At 46.7% G+C, this 17,224-nt stretch overlaps 1 annotated feature.

Moving 5' to 3' along the window:
- Nucleotides 7,896-8,549: an enhancer, noted in NCBI's record as "H3K27ac hESC enhancer chr19:21657297-21657950 (GRCh37/hg19 assembly coordinates)". NCBI's record gives its function as "activates a minimal SCP1, AML or CMV promoter by ChIP-STARR-seq in primed H9 embryonic stem cells {active_cell/tissue: H9 hESC(primed)}" and the evidence as "EXISTENCE:reporter gene assay evidence [ECO:0000049][PMID:30033119]".

The following is a 17,224-nucleotide window of genomic DNA, read 5'->3' as shown; positions in this document are numbered from 1 at the left end:
AGGTGGCCGCCCCTGTGGGCCACAAGCCGTGCCGTCAGCCCAAGCGGCCTCTGGAGGAGGCCTGTACTGCTAGCCGGCCGCTAGGAGGCGCCAAACAACCACCCACGCAATAATCAGCCAGGAAAGAATGAAAAAATACATATATATGCATATACTGATCAAAGAACAATCATACCCAGTCAGGGCGACGATTTTCTAGGCAACAAGGAAGAAGCCAACTTTGAGGTAGGGACAGTAGAGAAGACACAGTTGACCCAGTCTGTGCACAGGCTTCCTTTTCTGTGAGACCTTGGTTTAGGGGACATAACTATATTTCTTTGTAACACAATTACTTATTATAAACGTTATGTTTGTTTATTTACTTATTTGCTTTTTGATTGGAGTCTTTTTTTTTTTTTTTTGAGACGGAGTCTTGCTTTGTCACCCAGGCTAGAGTGCAGTGGGGCAATCTTGGCTCACTGCCATCTCCGCCTCCCGGGTTCAAGCGATTCTAGTACCTCAACCTCCTGAGGAACTGGTATTACAGGCACGCACCACCTCGCCCGGCTAATTTTTTATTGTTAGTAGACACGGGGTTTCGCCATGTTGGCCAGGCTGGTCTCAAACTCCTGACCTCAGGTGATCCAGCCGCCTCAGTCTCCCAAAGTGTTGGGATTACAGGCGTGAGCCACCACGCCCAGCCGATTTTTTTTTATTTCTTATGTGTATGGTCCTGTGATAGACCAGGGGACTTGTAACCTCAGAGTCCATGAGGCCAGAAGTTAACGTCCTAAATGTCTATTTAGAATGAACTTAAATGAACCAAACTCTCTGCCACGAAACTCTCAGAAAGACAAGAGATTAAAAAAAAAATTGCAACCTGGCAATGAATCACGCCTGTAATCCCAGTACTTTAGGAGGCCAAGGCAGGTGCATCGCTTCATCCCAGGAGTTCGAGACCATCCTGGGCAACATGGTAAAACATCATCTCAACCCAAAATACAAAAATTAGCCAGTTTCATAACCTGATCTCAAAATACATAAATAAATAGATTAAAATTCAAAAATAAAATTTAAATTTTAAAATGCTGAGTTCTGTTCATTTTGCTTCCTACCCAGAGAAGGGCATAAAATATCTGTTGCTTGCTTGTTTGTTTTTGACAGGGTCTCACTCTGTCACCCAGGCTGGAGTGCAGTGGCACCATCATGGCTTACTGCAGCCTCAACCTCCCCAGACTTAGATGATCCTCCCACCTCAGCCTCCCAAGTAGCTGAAATCACAGGTGTGTGCTGGCACACCTGGCTAATTTTTGTATTTTCGGTACAGACAAGTTTTCCACATGTTTCCCAGTCTGGTCTCAAACTCCTGGGCTCAAGTGATTCTCCCGTGTTGGCCTCCAGAAGTGTAGGGATTGCAGGAATCGGCCACCACGCCTGGCCTTACTTAATACATCTGATCTCACTACATTCTGACACTAAAGCCTCACATCAAAAAGTTAGGAAGATCTCAAGTTAACAACATAACATCACAACTAAAAGATCTAGAGAACAAGGCCAGGCACGGTGGCTCACGCCTGTAAACCTAGCACTTTGGGAGGCCGAGGCGGGCGGATCACAAGGTCAGGAGATCGAGACCATCCTGGCTAACATGGTGAAACCCCATCTCTACTAAAAATACAAAAAATTAGCCAGGTGTGGTGGCACATCCCTGTAGTCCATCCCAGCTACTTGGGAAACTGAGGCAGGAGAATCGCTTTAACCTAGGAGGCGGAGGTTGCAGTGAGCCGAGATTGCACCACTGCACTCCAGCCTGGGCAACAGAGCGAGACTCCATCTCAAAAAATAAATAAATACAATAAAATAAATAAATAAAAGAACTAGAAAACCAAAAGCAAACAAATCCCAAAGCTAGAAGAAAACAAGAAATAATCAAAATCAGAGCTGCACTGAACAAGACAGTGACATGAAAACACATTCAAAAGACCAACAAATCCAGGAAGTATTTTTTTGGAAAAAATAACTAAAAAGACCACTAGCTAGACTAATAAGAAGAGAGAGAAGATTCAAATAAACATAATCAGAAACAATAAGGGGGATATTACCACTGACCTCAGAGAAGAGAACCATCAGAGAATATTATGAACAAGTCGATGCACATGAACTAGAAAATCTAGAAGAAATGGAAAAATTTCTGGAAGCATACACCCTATCAAGACTGAACCAGGAAGAAACTGAATCCCTGAACAGAACAATAGTGAGTTCTGAAATTGAGGCAGTAATAAATAGCCTACCAATCAATAAAAGTCCAGGACCAGGTGGACTCACAGCTGAATTCTCCCAGATGTACAAAGAAGAGCTGGTACTGTTCCTACTGAAACTATTCCAAAAAATGTAGGAGAAGGGACTCTCCCTAAACTCATTCTATGAGGCCAGGACCAACCATCTTGACATGAAAACCTGAAAAAGATACAACAAAAAAGAAAGCTTCATGTCAACATCCTTGATGAACATTGATGTAAAAATCTTCAACAAAATACTAGCAAAGTAAATTCAGCAGCAAATCAAAAAACTTATCCACCATGATCAGGTAGGCTTCATCTCTGGGATGCAAGTTTGGTTCAACATATCCAAATCAATAAATATGATTCATTACAGAAACAGAACTAGGGGCAAAAACCACATGATTATTTCAATAGATGCAGAAAAGACTTTCATTACAGTTCAACATCTATTCATGTTAAAAACTCTCAATAAACTAGGTATAGAAAAAAAAGACACCTCAAAATGATAAGAGCCATCTATGACATACCCACAGCCAACATTATACTGAATGGGCGAAAGCTAGAAGCATTCTCCTTGAAAACCAGAATGAGACAAGAATGTCGTCTCTCATCATTCCTATTCAACATAGTACTGGAAGTTCTGGTCTGGGTAATCAGGCAAGAGAAAGAAAGAAAGGGCATCCAAATACGAAGAAAGGAAATCAAACTATTCTTGTTTGCAGATTACATGATCCTATATATAGAAAACCCCATAGTCTCAGCTCAAAAGCTCCTTAAGCTGATAAACAACTTTGGCAAAGTCTCAGAATGCAAAATCAATGTGCAAAAATTACCAGCATTCCTATACACAAACAACACTCAAGCCGAGAGCCAAATCATGAACAAACTCACATTCACAGTTGCCACAAAAAGAATAAAATATCTAGGAATACACCTAACTAGGGAGGTGAAAGATCTCAAGGAGAACTACAAACTGCTGCTCAAAGAAATCAGAAATGACACAAACAAAACACATTCCATGCTCATGAATAGAAAGAATCAATATCATTAAAATGTCCATACTGCCAAAAGCAATTTATATATTCAATGCTATTCCCAATAAACAACCGCTGACATTCTCATAGAATTTAAAGTAATTATTTCAAAATTTATATGAAACCAAAAAAGCCTGAATAGCCAAGGCAATCTTAAGCAAAAATAACAAAGCTGGAGGCATCACGCTACTCAACTTCCAGCTATACTACAGGGCTACAGCACCAAAACAGCATGGTACTAGTACAAGAACAGAAACATAGATCAATGGAACAGAATAGAGGGCCAGAAATCAAGCTGCACACCTGCAACCATCTGACCTTTGACAAAGCTGACAAAAAGAAGCAATGGGGAAAGAATTTGCAATAAATTGTGCTGGGAGAACTGGCTAGTCATATGCAGGAAATTGAACCTGGATCCCTTCCTTACACCATACACAAAAAATAACTCAAGATGGATTAAAGACTTAAATGTAAAACCCAAACTATAAAAACTCTGAAAGACAACCTAGGCAGTACCATTCAGGACACAGGCGCAGGCAAAGACTTCATGGCAAAGATGCCAAAGCAATTGCAACAAAAGGAAAAATTAACAAATGGGATCTAATTAAGTTAAAGAGCTTCTGGCTGAGCGTGGTGGCTCAAGCCTGTAATCCCAGCACTTTGGGAAGCTGAGGGAGGTGGATCACCTGAGGTCAAGAGTTCAAGACCAGCCTGGCCAACATGGTGAAATCTCGTCTCTAATAACAATAAAAAATTAGCCAGGTGTGGTGGCATAGGCCTGTAATCCCAGCTACTCGGGAGGCTGAGGCAGGAGAATCGCTAGAACCTGGGAGGCAAAGGTTGCAGTGAGCTGAGACTGCACCACTGCACTCCAGCCTGGGAGACAGTGTCTGTCTCCAATAAATAAATAAATGAAGAGCATTTACTGGACAAGTGGAAGATTATGTTTTATAAACAAAATCATCTTTGAAATTACTGGCTGATTCCTCTTTAAAAGGTACAAATAGGTCTTTTTAAAAACTTTTAAGTGTTAGGGTACAAGTGCAGGTTTGTTACATAGGTAAACTTGTGTCATGGGGTTGTATAGATTATTTAATAACCCAGGTATTAAGCTTAGTACCATTATTTCTCCTGATCCTCTCTTCCCACCTTCCACTTTTTGAAAGACCCCAGTGTGTCATTCCCCCCCGTGTCCGTGTTCTCATTATTTACTTGTCACTCATAAGTGAGAACAAGTAGTATTTGGTTTTCTGTTCCTGTGTTAGTTTGCTAAGGATAATGGCCTCCAGCTCCATGCAGATCTCTGCAAGGGGCATGATCTCATTTTTCTTATGACTCCATAGTATTTCATGGTATATATGTACATTTTTCTTTGTCCAGTGTATCATTGATGGAAATTTAGGTTGAGTCCATGTGTTTGCTGTGGTGGATGGTGCTGCAGTGAACATACATGTGCATGTGTATTTATAATAGAATAATTTATATTCCTGTGGGTATATACAGTAATAGGATTCCTCATCACACTAGGCTGGGCATGGCAGTTCACACCTGTAATCCCCACACTTTAGGAGGCCAAGGCGGGCAGATCACCTAAGGTCAGGAATTTGAGACCAGCCTGGCCAATGAGGCGAAACCCTGTCTCTACTAAAACTACAAAAATTAGCTGGGTGTGGTGGCACGTTCCTGTAATCCCAGCTACTCAGGGGGCTGAGGCAGGAGAATCGCTTAAACCCGGGAGGTGGAGGTTGTAGTGAGCTGAGATCGTGTGATTGCACTCCAGATTGGGCAACAAGAGCAAAACTCTGTCTCAGGAGAAAAAAAAAAAAAATCAACACACTGTCTTCAACAATGGCTAAAGTAATTTACACTCCCACCAACAGTATATAACCATTTCTTTTTCTCCACAACCTCGCCAGCATCTGTTATTTCTGTAACTTATTAAAAATAGCCTTTCTAACAGGCATGAGATGGTATCTCATTGTGGTTTTGATTTGCATTTATTTAACAATCAGTGGTGTTGCGCTTATTTTCATATGATTGTTGATACACGTCTGTTCATGTCCTTCCCCCACTTTTTTTTTTTTTTTTTTGGAGAGGCAGTCTTGCTCTGTTACCCAGGCTGGATCCCAGCTCACTGCAACCTCTGCCTCCCAGGTTCAAGGAATTCTCTTGCCTCAGCCTCCCTAGTAGCTGGGATTACAGGTGTCCACCATCATGAGATGGAGTTTCGCTCTTGCTGCCCAGGCTGGAGTGCAATGGTGCACTCTTGGCTCACCACAACCTCTGCCTCCTGGGTTCAAGTGATTCTCCTGCCTCAGTCTCCAGAGTAGCTGGGATTACAAACATGCACCACCATGCCCGGCTAATTGTATTTTTAGTAGAGATGGGGTTTCTCCATGTTGGTCAGGCTGGTCTCGAACTGCCAACCTCAGGTGGTCCGCCCACCTTGACCTCCCAAAGTGCTGAGATTACAGGCATGAGCCACTGTGCCCAGCGATATTTTGTATTTTTAATAGAGATGGGGTTTTACCATGTTGGCTAGGCTGATCTTGAACTCCTGACCTCAAGTGATCTACCCACCTTGGCCTCCCAAAGTGCTGGAATTACAGGCATGAGCCACTGAGCCTGGCCCTATTTCATCCACTTTTTTATGGAGTTGGTGTTTTTCTTTTTTTTTTTTTTTTGAGATAGAGTCTTACTCTTTGACACAGGCTGGAGTGCAGTGGTGCACTCTTGGTTCACTGCAATCTCCGCCTCCTGGGTTCAAGCGATTCTCCTGCCTCAGCCTCCCCAGTAGCTGGGATTATAGGCATATGCCACCACAGCCAGCTAATTTTTGTACTTTTAGTAGAGACAGGGTTTCGCCATGTTGGCCAGGCTGGTCTTGAACTCCTGACCTCAAGTGATCCAAACGTCTCGACCTCCCAAAGTGCTGGAATTACAGGCATGAGCCACCACGCACAGCCGGGGTTGTTGTTTTTCTACTGTAAATTTGTTTAAGTTCTTATAGATGCTAGACATTAGACCTTCGACGGATGCATAGTTTGCAAAAATTTTCTCCCATGCTGTATGTTATCTGTTTACTCTGTTGATAGTTTCTTTTGCTGTGCAGAAGCTCTTTTTTTTTTTTTTTGAGATGGAGTCCCGCCAAGATCGCGCCACTGCACTCCAGCCTGGGCGACAGAGACTCAGTCTCAAAAAAAAAAATTAAAGACTACATAAGAGACATTACGACATTTTTCAAACATTACCTTCAAATAAAGAGTGTTCTTCTCACATAATTATACAGATTCAAAATATAAGTAGATTGTGAATTTAGGATTATTTTCCCGACTACTCACCTAGACAGAATAATCATTGAAAACCATGGAAAGAGTATGTCATAAACGAAGTAGTGGCAACACAGATGAAAAACACATCGATATTTCTATAGATGACATACGGCTAATTCATATATAAATTAAGCATCACATTGTCTAAAATTGTACAGAGTTGAAAATTATCATTCAATTCATAATATCAAGCTTTGAAAGCAAAAATACAATTAACTGATCTAAAAAAACATACCCCCTCGAAAAGAAACACTAATGTAGAAATAAAAATAAGAGAGATTTTATTTATTTATTTTTTTGAGACGGAGTCTCGCTCTTGTAACCCATACTGGAGTGCAGTGGCGTGATCTTGGCTCACTGCAACCTCAGCCTACCGAATTCCAGCGATTCTCCTGCCTCAGCCTCCCGAGTAGCTGGGATTACAGGCACCCACCACCAAGCCTGGCTAATTTTTGTATTTTTCTTTTAGTAGAGAAGGAGTTTCACCATGTTGGCCAGGCTGGTCTCCTGACCTCAGGTGATCCACCCGCCTTGGCCACCCAAAGTGCTGGGATTACAGGGGTGAGCCACCGCGCCCGGCCAAGAGAGATTTTAACGCATAATATGCTGAATACAACATAGATATTAAAAATAATTCTTTAGATATCTACAGTTTTTAGCTGTGTGTACTCTTGCAGAGCAGGCATTCTGAATCATTGGCATTCAATGAATGGCAGCAAAATTTCACAGAAAAATGCATTACAATCAATAATAGGCTCTAATGAGAAAATTTAATAAATACGAAAAGTACGGCGGAAAAATTTATTTGTGGCCGAAAAGGACGGCGGAAAAATTTCTTTGTGGCCGGGCGCGGTGGCTCACGCCTGTAATCCCAGCACTTTCGGAGGCCGAGGGGGGCGGACCATCTGAGGTCAGGAGTTCAAGACCAGCCTGGCCAACATAGTGAAACCCTGTCTTTACTAAAAATACAAAAAATTAGCCGGGCATGGTGGCGGGTGCCTGTAATCCCAGATATTCGGGAGACTGAGGCTCGAGAATCGCTTGAGCCCAGGAGGCGGAGGTTGCAGTGAGCCGAGATCATGCCACTGCACTCCAGCCTGGAGACAAAAGCGAGACTCCGTCTCACAAAAAAATAATAATAATCAGAAAAGACTTAAGACCCCACGGGCAGCAGCCCCTCCAACGCATACACCGAGTGGGGATTCTGCCGATGACCCGCCTGTCTTCCCTGAACAACCCGGGAAATACTCGGGATTGCGGGTGCAGAGCTGCCCAGAGAGCCCCGGACTGGCGCCGCGCAGAAACTGGCGGGACGCTGTGGTCCTGGCTGCGAGTCCAGCCGCCATCTTGCGGCCAGAGTGGCCTGGAGCGGAGCTGTGCCAGCGGGGACTCAGGTCGGCGACCCAGGAGCGGACTGTGGGGAGGCCGGTCCAGCCGGTTTCACAGGCCGCTCTCCCATCTCGGGATGCTCAACCCGCACACCCACCGGCTGTGACAAAGTCACCTGGGGCTCCCGAGGTGGAGGACGCAGAATAGCAGAGACAGGCAACTAAAACTCTGGCAGGAGCGAGACAAAGGGCCCGCCAAATGCCGGAGGCCACGCCCTCCTCTCCAACTCCGCGCCTGATTGGGCGGTTCCCGCGCCAGCGCCACTGATTGGATAAAGCTTCAGGACCCACCTCCCAGCGCGGCTTCCCCAGCATTAGTGCATTTTATGGGCAGGGAAACAGGCTGAAGTAGGCAGGGTCACCTGCTCAGGGAATTACAGCTAATTAAGAAGTGAGCTGAGGCTTGAAATGCGCTTGCTCTTTCCCTTACCTGGGTCTACTTGTATAATGCATCTGAGTAGTTATTTTAGGGTAAAAAGAAAATTTGGACACCTTTTTAACAACTTTTTAATCATTTTGATAATGCAGGAAAAACCTTCATCCCATCCCTGAGCCCCTCTCTCACCATGCTGTACCACACTGCTGACCACATCGTGGGATGGCCATTAGGAATGGGGCGGGGGGGAGGTGGGCAGAGGGGGCTGAGAATGGGTAAGCATGAATTACGTTGGCCAAATGTGCTCATCTTAGAAAGGCTCCTCAGGCATTTTGTGTGAAGCGTCTATCCTTGGGGTAATTGTGCCCTGACTGCGCTGCATCTCAGTCTGACTTCTCCTTTTGAAAATCACTGGATTACTTTCATTAACGGGTGTGTTTCATTTTCTATTTGAAAATGGCCAGGCTGGGCGCTGTGGCTCACGCCTGTAATCCCAGCACTTTGGGAGGCCGAGGCGGGCGGATCACCTGGGGTCAGGAGTTCAAGACCAGCCTCAACATGGAGAAACCCCGTCTCTACTAAAAATACAATTAGCCAGGCGTGGTGGTGCACGCCTGTAATCCCAGCTACTCAGGAGGCTGAGGCAGGAGAATTGCTTGAACCTGGGAGACGGAGGTTGCAGTGAGCCGAGATCGCGCCATTGCACTCCAGCCTGGGCAACAAGAGTGAAACTCCGTCTCAAAAAAAAAAAAAAGAAAGAAAGAAAAGAAAATGGCCAACGGTTTTCTGTAGGTGTCCTGATTTGATTTGCTAGTTTAGACCCTGGAGGTAGAGGTCAGAAAGCACTTGAGCCACATCAGAACACCTTTTCAACTGGAGGATACATAGGAATTCTTTAATAATATCTAACAGTTTTCTCAATACCCATTATATTTAACAGTGATAGCTTGGAGGGTAGGGAGGGGACACAGATGACACAACCTTATTAGTTCAATTTTGTTATAAGTTTTTGTGTTTTGTTTTTGGAGACAAGGTCTCACTCTGGTGCCCAGGCTGGAGTGCAGTGGCACATCATAGCTCATTATTTGGTTGTAACAGTTCTTTAAAAAATATTTTTGAGGGCCAGCTGCAGCGGCTCACGCCTGTAATCCCAGCGCTTTTGGAGGCCGAGGCGGGTGGATCACCTGAGGTCAGGAGTTCAAGACCACCCTGGGCAACATGGTGAAACCCCACCTCTACTAAAAATACAAAAAATAGCCGGGCGTGGTGGCACATGCTTGTAATCCCAGCTACTGAGGAGGCTGAGGCAGGACAATCGCTTGAACCTGGAAGGCACAGGTTGCAGTGAGCCCAGATCATGCCATTGCACTCCAGCCTGGGCAACAAGGGAAAAACTTCGTCTCAAAAAGAAATAAAAATTTTAAAATATATATTTTTGAGGCCGGGCATGGTGGCTCACGTCTGTAATCCCAGCACTTTGGGAGGCTGAGGTGGGCGGATCACAAAGTCAGGAGTTTGAGACCAGCCTGGCCAACATAGTGAAACACCGTCTCTACTAAAAATACAAAAATTAGCTGGGCATGGTGGCAGGCCCCTGTAGTCCCAGCTACTTGGGAGGCTGAGACAGGAGAATTGCTTGAACCCGGGAGGCAGAGGTTGTGGTGAGCCGAGATCGTGCAGCTGCACTCGAGCCTGAGCAATAGAGCGAGACTCTGTATCAAAAAAAAAAAAAAATTTTTTTTTTTGCCTGGGCTTGATGGCTCACACCTGTTATCCAAACACTTTGGGAGGCAGGCCAAGGTGAAATGATCACTTAAGCCCAGGAGTTTAAGACCAGTCTGGGCAACATTTTAAGCCTCAGTCTCTACAAAAAAATTTTAAAATTGGCCAGGTGTGGTATTGCATGCCTATAGTCCCAGCTACTTGAGAGGCTGAGGTGGAAAAATCACTTGAGCCTAAGAGTTTGAGAGTGCAGTAACCCATGATTCAGCCACTGCACTCCAGCCTGGGTGACAGAGTGAGACCTCTGAGTGTGTGTGTGTGTTATATAATTTATTTTTAAAAATAATATGTATGTTAAAAAAATTTCAAGCACAGAAAAAAAGTGAAAGACCTTGGGGGTGGGGGTATGTGAAGAAAGGTGAGTGTGGGCTGGGTGCGGTGGCTCACACCTGTAATTCCAGCATTTTGGGAGGCCAAGGTGGGCGGGAATCGCCTCAGGTCAGGAGTTTGAGACCACCCTTGCCAACATGGTGAAACCTTGTCTTTACTAAAAGTACAAAAATTAGCTGGGCATGGTGGTGGGCACCTGTAATCTCAGCTACTCGGGAGGCTGAGACAGGAGAATCGCTTGAAACCGGGAGTCGGAGGTTGCAGTGAGCCGAGATCACACCACTACACTCCAGCCCGGGCGACAAAAGTAAAACTCTGTCTCAAAAAAATAAAAATAGATTAAAAAAAAAAAAAAAGAAAAGTGGCTCCTGCAACTCGGTGAGACTTGGTTTTCTATTTTGAAAAACTGCCCATCCACACAGGAACCATCACCTAGCTCATGCCAATTCTCTCTCTCTCTCTTTTTTTTTTTTTTTTTTGAGACAGGGTCTGACTGACTGTGTAGCCCAGGCTGCGGTGCAGTGGTGCAGTCTGGGCTCACTGCAACCTCTGCCTCCTGGGTTCAAGCGATTCTCCTACCTCCGCCTCCCAAGTAGCTGGGGCTACAGGTGCCCACCATCATGCCTGGCTAATTATTGTATTTTATGGTAGAGATGGGGTTTCACCATGTTGGCCAGTCTGGTCTCAAACTCCTGACCTCAAATTATCTGCCTGCCTCACCCTCCCATAGTGCTGGGATTACAGGCATGAACCACCACTCCCAGCCACATGCCAATTCTCACACTAAGCCTGCTGACATACCACTATTTACCCATTTTTAAAGAAAAATTGAGGCCGGGCACGGTGGGTCATGCCTATAATCCCAGTACTTTGGTAGGCCTAGGTGGGCATATCACCTGAGGTCAGGAGTTTGAGACCAGCCTGGCCAACATGGTGAAACCCCGTCTCTACTAAAAATACAAAATTAGCCCGGCATGGTGGCACGTGCCCGTAACCCCAGCTACTCGGGAGGTTGAGGCAGGAGAATCACTTAAACCCAGGAGGCAGAGGTTGCAGTGAGCTGAGATCATGCCACCGCACTCCAGCCTAGAAAACAAGAGCGAAACTCTGTCTCAAAAAAAAAAAGAAAGAAAGAAAAGAAAAATTGAAATATTTCACCTAAAAAAAACATGGAGGAGAAAAAGAGGATTTGATATTTAAAGACTTTGTTTCCTTTATAAAACTACAGCCCCTTGTTATTTGATTTGTCCAAAGGTGTCTGACAGCACTAATACACTTAAGGAATCAATCAGGAAAAATGGGCCTCTCAGGTGACAAGGAGTTACAATGTACCTAAACCCAATCCATTCTCAGCTTTACATGGTGTCGCCCTCAAGAAGTGGTGTTCCCCACGTGAACCATATTCACTGGACAAGGCCAGAGGAAAGCATGTTTAGGACAACACAACCATGAGGCTGCAAATCAAACTGGGGGCAGGAAGCACGCAGGAGGCTTCCATGGCCAAGACACTGGTGGCTATCCTTGGGTATCACTTAAAACTTCAAGGTGAAGGACATCTTTTCCCACTTGGCTCAGAGGAACTAACAGACATTAGGATTGGAATATTTTTGTTTGTTTGTTTTTTCAGAATTTCTAAGACATGAAGGACTCTCCAAACACTCCAAAGGGCATTTAGCTATACATGAGGCTAATTGGCCAGGTGTGGTGTTGCATGCCTATAGTCCCAGCTGCTTGAGAGGCTGAGGTGGAAAGATCACTTAAGCCTAAGAGGTTGAGGCTGCAGTAACCCATGATTCAGTCACTGCATTCCAGCCTGGGTGACAGAGTGAAATATACACGTGTGTGTGTGTGTGTGTGTGTGTGTGTGTGTGTGTGTCTGCTCTGGAGAGGGATGGCTGAGCAACAGCCACCAGCTATAATAACTGTGAACTCCCCCTCTTATAGGGTCAGGCCACCTCCACATACCCCCTCTTACTTCACAGGCTCTGTCCCTCAGGTCTGGAATATTGCCTTCCTCCCATCTCATTAGCTCTCCAAGAGAGCCCAGCTTGCTCTAAAACCTACCCTAGAATGGCAAGTTGTAGACCCTCCTCCATTCTCCCAGTACAGTGGGACTTCTGGAGAGTGCTGCCTAATTTCCTTACCTCGACTGACCTGACAAGGGCAAGTGCCTTGGCAGTTAGATGTTCAGTGACCTAACAGGTCCAGCATGCCCAGTGCTCAGCCCCACAGCCTAGCATCTCTCCTCCCCTGGCCTTCCCTCCAGGATTTTTTCTTTTCTTTTTTTCTTTTCCTTTCCTTTCCATTCCTTTCTCTCTCCCTTCCTTCCTTCCTTCCTTCCTTCCTTCCTTCCTTCCTTCCTTCCTTCCTTCCTTCCTTTCTCTCTCTTTCTTTCTTAGATGTAGGCTTGCTCTGTTGCCCAGGTTGGAGTGCAGTGGCATGATCTTGGCTCACTACAACTCCATCTCTGGGGTTCAAGCAGTTTTCCTGCCTCAGCCTCCCAAGTAGCTGGGATTACAGGCTCACACCACCATGCCAAGCTAATTTTTGTATTTTTAGTAGAGACAGGATTTCACTATGTTGGCCAGGCTGGTCTTGAACTACTGATCGAGGTGATCAGCCCACCACGACCTCCCAAAGTGCTGGGATTACAGGCTTGAGGCACTGCGCCTGGCCTTAGCCTTTTTTCTTCTGTCACCAATGACAGGTGATATTCACCTGTGCCACACTTTCATGAGCCTAGTAAGTGGTGTGGGCAAACCCCAGCTGAGTCCCTGTGACTCCACACTCTTACTTCCCACTCAAGTGGCATTATAAGCATAACCTTAAATATGATCTAATTTATACATATTTCTCTCTTAGCAACATTTCTGACAACAGTCCTCACAATCAAATCAGACTGGGTTACAAAACACACGGGTGAGGCTGGAGCAGTAGTTTATAAAAACTTACTTTATTCTAATGTGATATGAAAATATGATGGGTTAAAAACAAGAAAATGTTATTAATCAGTGGTGGGGATGCTCCACTTGCTAGCTTATGGCCACTCCCTTTAAAACAAGATATCGGCCGGGCGCGGTGGCTCACACCTATAATCCCAGCACTTTGGGAGGCTGGGCAGGCGGATCACGAGGTCAGGAGATCGAGACCATCCTGGCTAACACAGTGAAACCCCGTCTCTACTAAAAATACAAAAAAAAAAAAAAAAATTAGCCGGGCGTGGTGGCAGGCACCTGTAGTCCCAGCTACTGGGGAGGCTGAGGCAGGAGAATGGCGTGAACCCAAGGAGGCAGAGCTTGCAGTGAGCTGAGATCACGCCATTGCACTCCAGCCTGGGCACAGAGCAAGACTCCGTCTCCAAAAAAAAAAAAAAACAAAAAACCAAAAACAAGATATCTAGGCAAACCATATTCATAGGTATCTTTTTGCAAAATCCCAGGCAGAAGCCCCAGTCAGACACAGCTCCCTCAGGCTCACAGGGTGGCAACCTCCTTCTCCATGTTAGGGCTCTGACAGTAGGCAAGAGAAGTAGCACCGGCAGGTGGGGACAGAGAGCAGCCTGGGCCTATAGGGTCCCTAACTACCCCCAGAGCTAGTCTCCGTTTAAGGGGCTGTGTGGCCAGGACCAGGTAGGAAGCTGGGCTCAACAGAGCGGTGACAACCACTCCTGTATCTTTAACATTCCCCCGGGATTCATGATTCAGCTCTGGTTCTCCCCAGGCCCCAAACCTACTCTACCCTCAGTGTGTGTTAGGGAGGTCTGGTTAAGACAGGGAGAATAATACATTCAGATTGTAGCCTCCAAGGTATTCCCATCTGGGGTGCAGGGAGTAGGGAGGCAAGTCAGAGCCTGTGGTGTTGCCTTTTTGCTGGTACTGAGGGCAGGCAGGCCAGGCCTAGGCACATGGATGTCTGGGGGACCACCACTGCTGACTCCCTCCCTGTCACCCAGAGTTACAATCAGGCCAGGCCAATCACAATTATAATCACTGCAGTTCTCATCCTGCCACAAAACTAAAGTGTACCCAAAACCCTAGCCCTACCACAGGTCTCTGACTTTCCATCCCAGAACACAAGGAGGCCCTCGATCTTTTTTACTTAAAGCCTGAACTTCAAACCAGGTTGGGTCTGGGGGTAGTGGCAGCAAAAGCAGCAGCCATAATATGAAGCATACAAATGACTCGAGAAATCCCATCTGCATGTCATTCACTCGGAACTGACCTGGAGTTGTGTACAAGTTAAGAAGGACAGATCTATACACTCATTGGCATGGACACATTCTACAGTTGCTGGGAAGAATGAGGGACCTGAGAGGCACCTTTTTCCCAGCTGCAAGCTGATGTCCACATACACCATTCACATGTCTTCATTTATGCCTCTGCATTGTATATTCATTGAGCCAATGCAAACACATCTCCTGGGGGGGGCATCATTCAATGCAGCACCAGCCCCCACTTGTCCTGGGGGGCAGTCAGTAGGGATCTGGTCAGCTCATAATCTCCTAGGACAATGGTGCTGCCCCCTTTCCAGCACTCACATCCAGCAGCACCATCTTGGGATGGTTTTCATCAAACATGAACAGCGTGAGGTAGCAGGCATGGTGTGACAGGCTCAGGGCCATGGACAGCTGGCTGCTGGGGAAGCAGCATAGGGCAGGGGCATCTGTGGGTGGCACCATGACAAGCCCCTACCCCCACACAGCCCCTACCCCCACACAGCCTGAGTCCAAATGCCATTCAAATCTTCCTGGGTGGTATTGGGGTGCTCGATGTCCATTTCTCACCTGCTCATTAGCACTGCCTTGTGTTGGTTACTCAGGACCTGGGGAGAGGGGTGGGGGCTGTTGATCCAGGATGGGCAACACCTCACACCCAGAGTCCACGTGGCTGCAGGCCAGCAAGCAAGCCCAAGTGGCTCAGCTCTAGACACTGAGCCTCGGCACCTCTGGCTTGCACTTTCTATTTATACTTTGCACAAAGGCAACAGAAGGAGGTCAACATCAGCTGTTGTGACATGGAACTCTATGCGCCACGGAGACCTTCTAAAAATGTTGTCTTAAGTCCTTTTCTTTCTAATAAAATCTATACAAATACACACATGCAAGCCTGAAACTACTATAAATGAAATATTAAGTGTTTTAAAACCCATAAACAAACAAACACAAAAACAGCCACTTTGAGGAGAGAGTGGGACCCTAAAGCAGCTGACCCCCCAAAAGCCCCACCAAGCCTTAGGACAGGACAGGCAGCCTGAACACTACAAGGCCACATGGTGGTTACAGAGGATGACAGCTCCCACAGGTACTTGTCAGGCACTGTGGTAGCTTCTCACTCAGAGTCTCAGAACGCCTCCTCACCAATACCCTGTGAGGGGAGGTCCCGCCTCACTAGAGCACAGGAGTTTCCTGAACTCTCCCAAGGAAATGGTTAACAAAGGGTGGAACTAGGGGAAGCCCAGACAAAACAAGTGACTCCCCAGTGTCTCCCTAGACTCCATCCACTCCTCCACATGGGGCCCGGAGGGGAAGTGAACAGCCTCTTAACTCCCTCGATAGGGTTCCAGTCCTGCAGGCCTGGACTCTCCCATTTCCTGCTACCATAGAGGGTGACAATGAAACTCCAGACTCCTCATTTGCCATCCCTCATTTGCCAGGCCAGGTCCAAAGACGTTTGATGACACAGCCCAGAGGGTGCTCGAGGCCCACCTCAGCATAGTCACCGGTAATGTAGTGGGGAGGAGCAAGGAGGTGCTCAGGGCCTCAGTGATGAGCTCACAGCCCTCCTTTAGGAGGCCTGCAGAGCACACTCCCAGGGAGCAGTGCTCAGATGGGCAGACAGGCCAACCAGCACCGAGGACTCAGAACCCCTCCTTGCCCCACCTGCCGCCCGGCCACATGAGGCTCTGTCCCACTTTCAGGGCTTCTGCACAGGCCAGTCCCCACTGCTTCTGTGGCGAGATATCAGAGTTGAAGTGAATGTTGAAGTGAGTGCTGAAGGCCATGCAGCTGATGGAGCTTACTGCCTTGCACACACTGTAAATCACCTCCTGGCTCCAAGGGTCTGCTGTGGAAGAGACACAGCCTGATGGGATGTAGCCCCACTCCACCACCAGTGGGGCTTGGCTGTCCTGAGCTGCAGCCCGCAGCTCCTTGCAGAGATGTCTACCTGCTTCTCTCTGGAGCTGGGGCATGAGCCATCCCTGGCAAGGACCGGCTGCCAGGACAGGCTGGGAACTCTCCCCCAGCATCCTCAGGAGCCCCACCTGTGCTGGCATCTGCGCTGGTGATTTCCATAATAAGATTATGGAAGATTTTTAAAGCAACTTTCCCCCCTCATTTCTCTATCTTAATAACAGCACTGATAACTTCTAAGCCCCAGCAGGCTGAAAGTGTAAGACAAATGAGCTCCTGCCTAAGAAGGGCCATAATTGGGCAGTGTGTGCTCAGGAGGGCACCCCATGGTTGTTAGTGGAGGGTGGGAAGCTGGATGGCCCTGGCCACTCAGTCCAGTGGAAAGGAGGGCCCTCTCCTTCCAGGAAATCAAAGTCTCAAAGAGACCAGAATAAGTGCTTGACCAGCCTGCCAGGAAGCAGAAGGCTAGATGGCCTTGCAGGCAACCCCAGGCAGCCTTTAGGGTGCCTGATAGGGCTGAGCTCATTCCAGCTTTCCTTGCTTTCATTCCGTCTACAAGAAAACCTGCCTGCTGGCTGGGCATGGTGGCTC

Source organism: Homo sapiens, chromosome 19, assembly GCF_000001405.40.
Source record: "Homo sapiens chromosome 19, GRCh38.p14 Primary Assembly".
NCBI lineage: Eukaryota > Metazoa > Chordata > Mammalia > Primates > Hominidae > Homo > Homo sapiens.
This window is presented reverse-complemented; position numbering and strand designations above follow the sequence as displayed.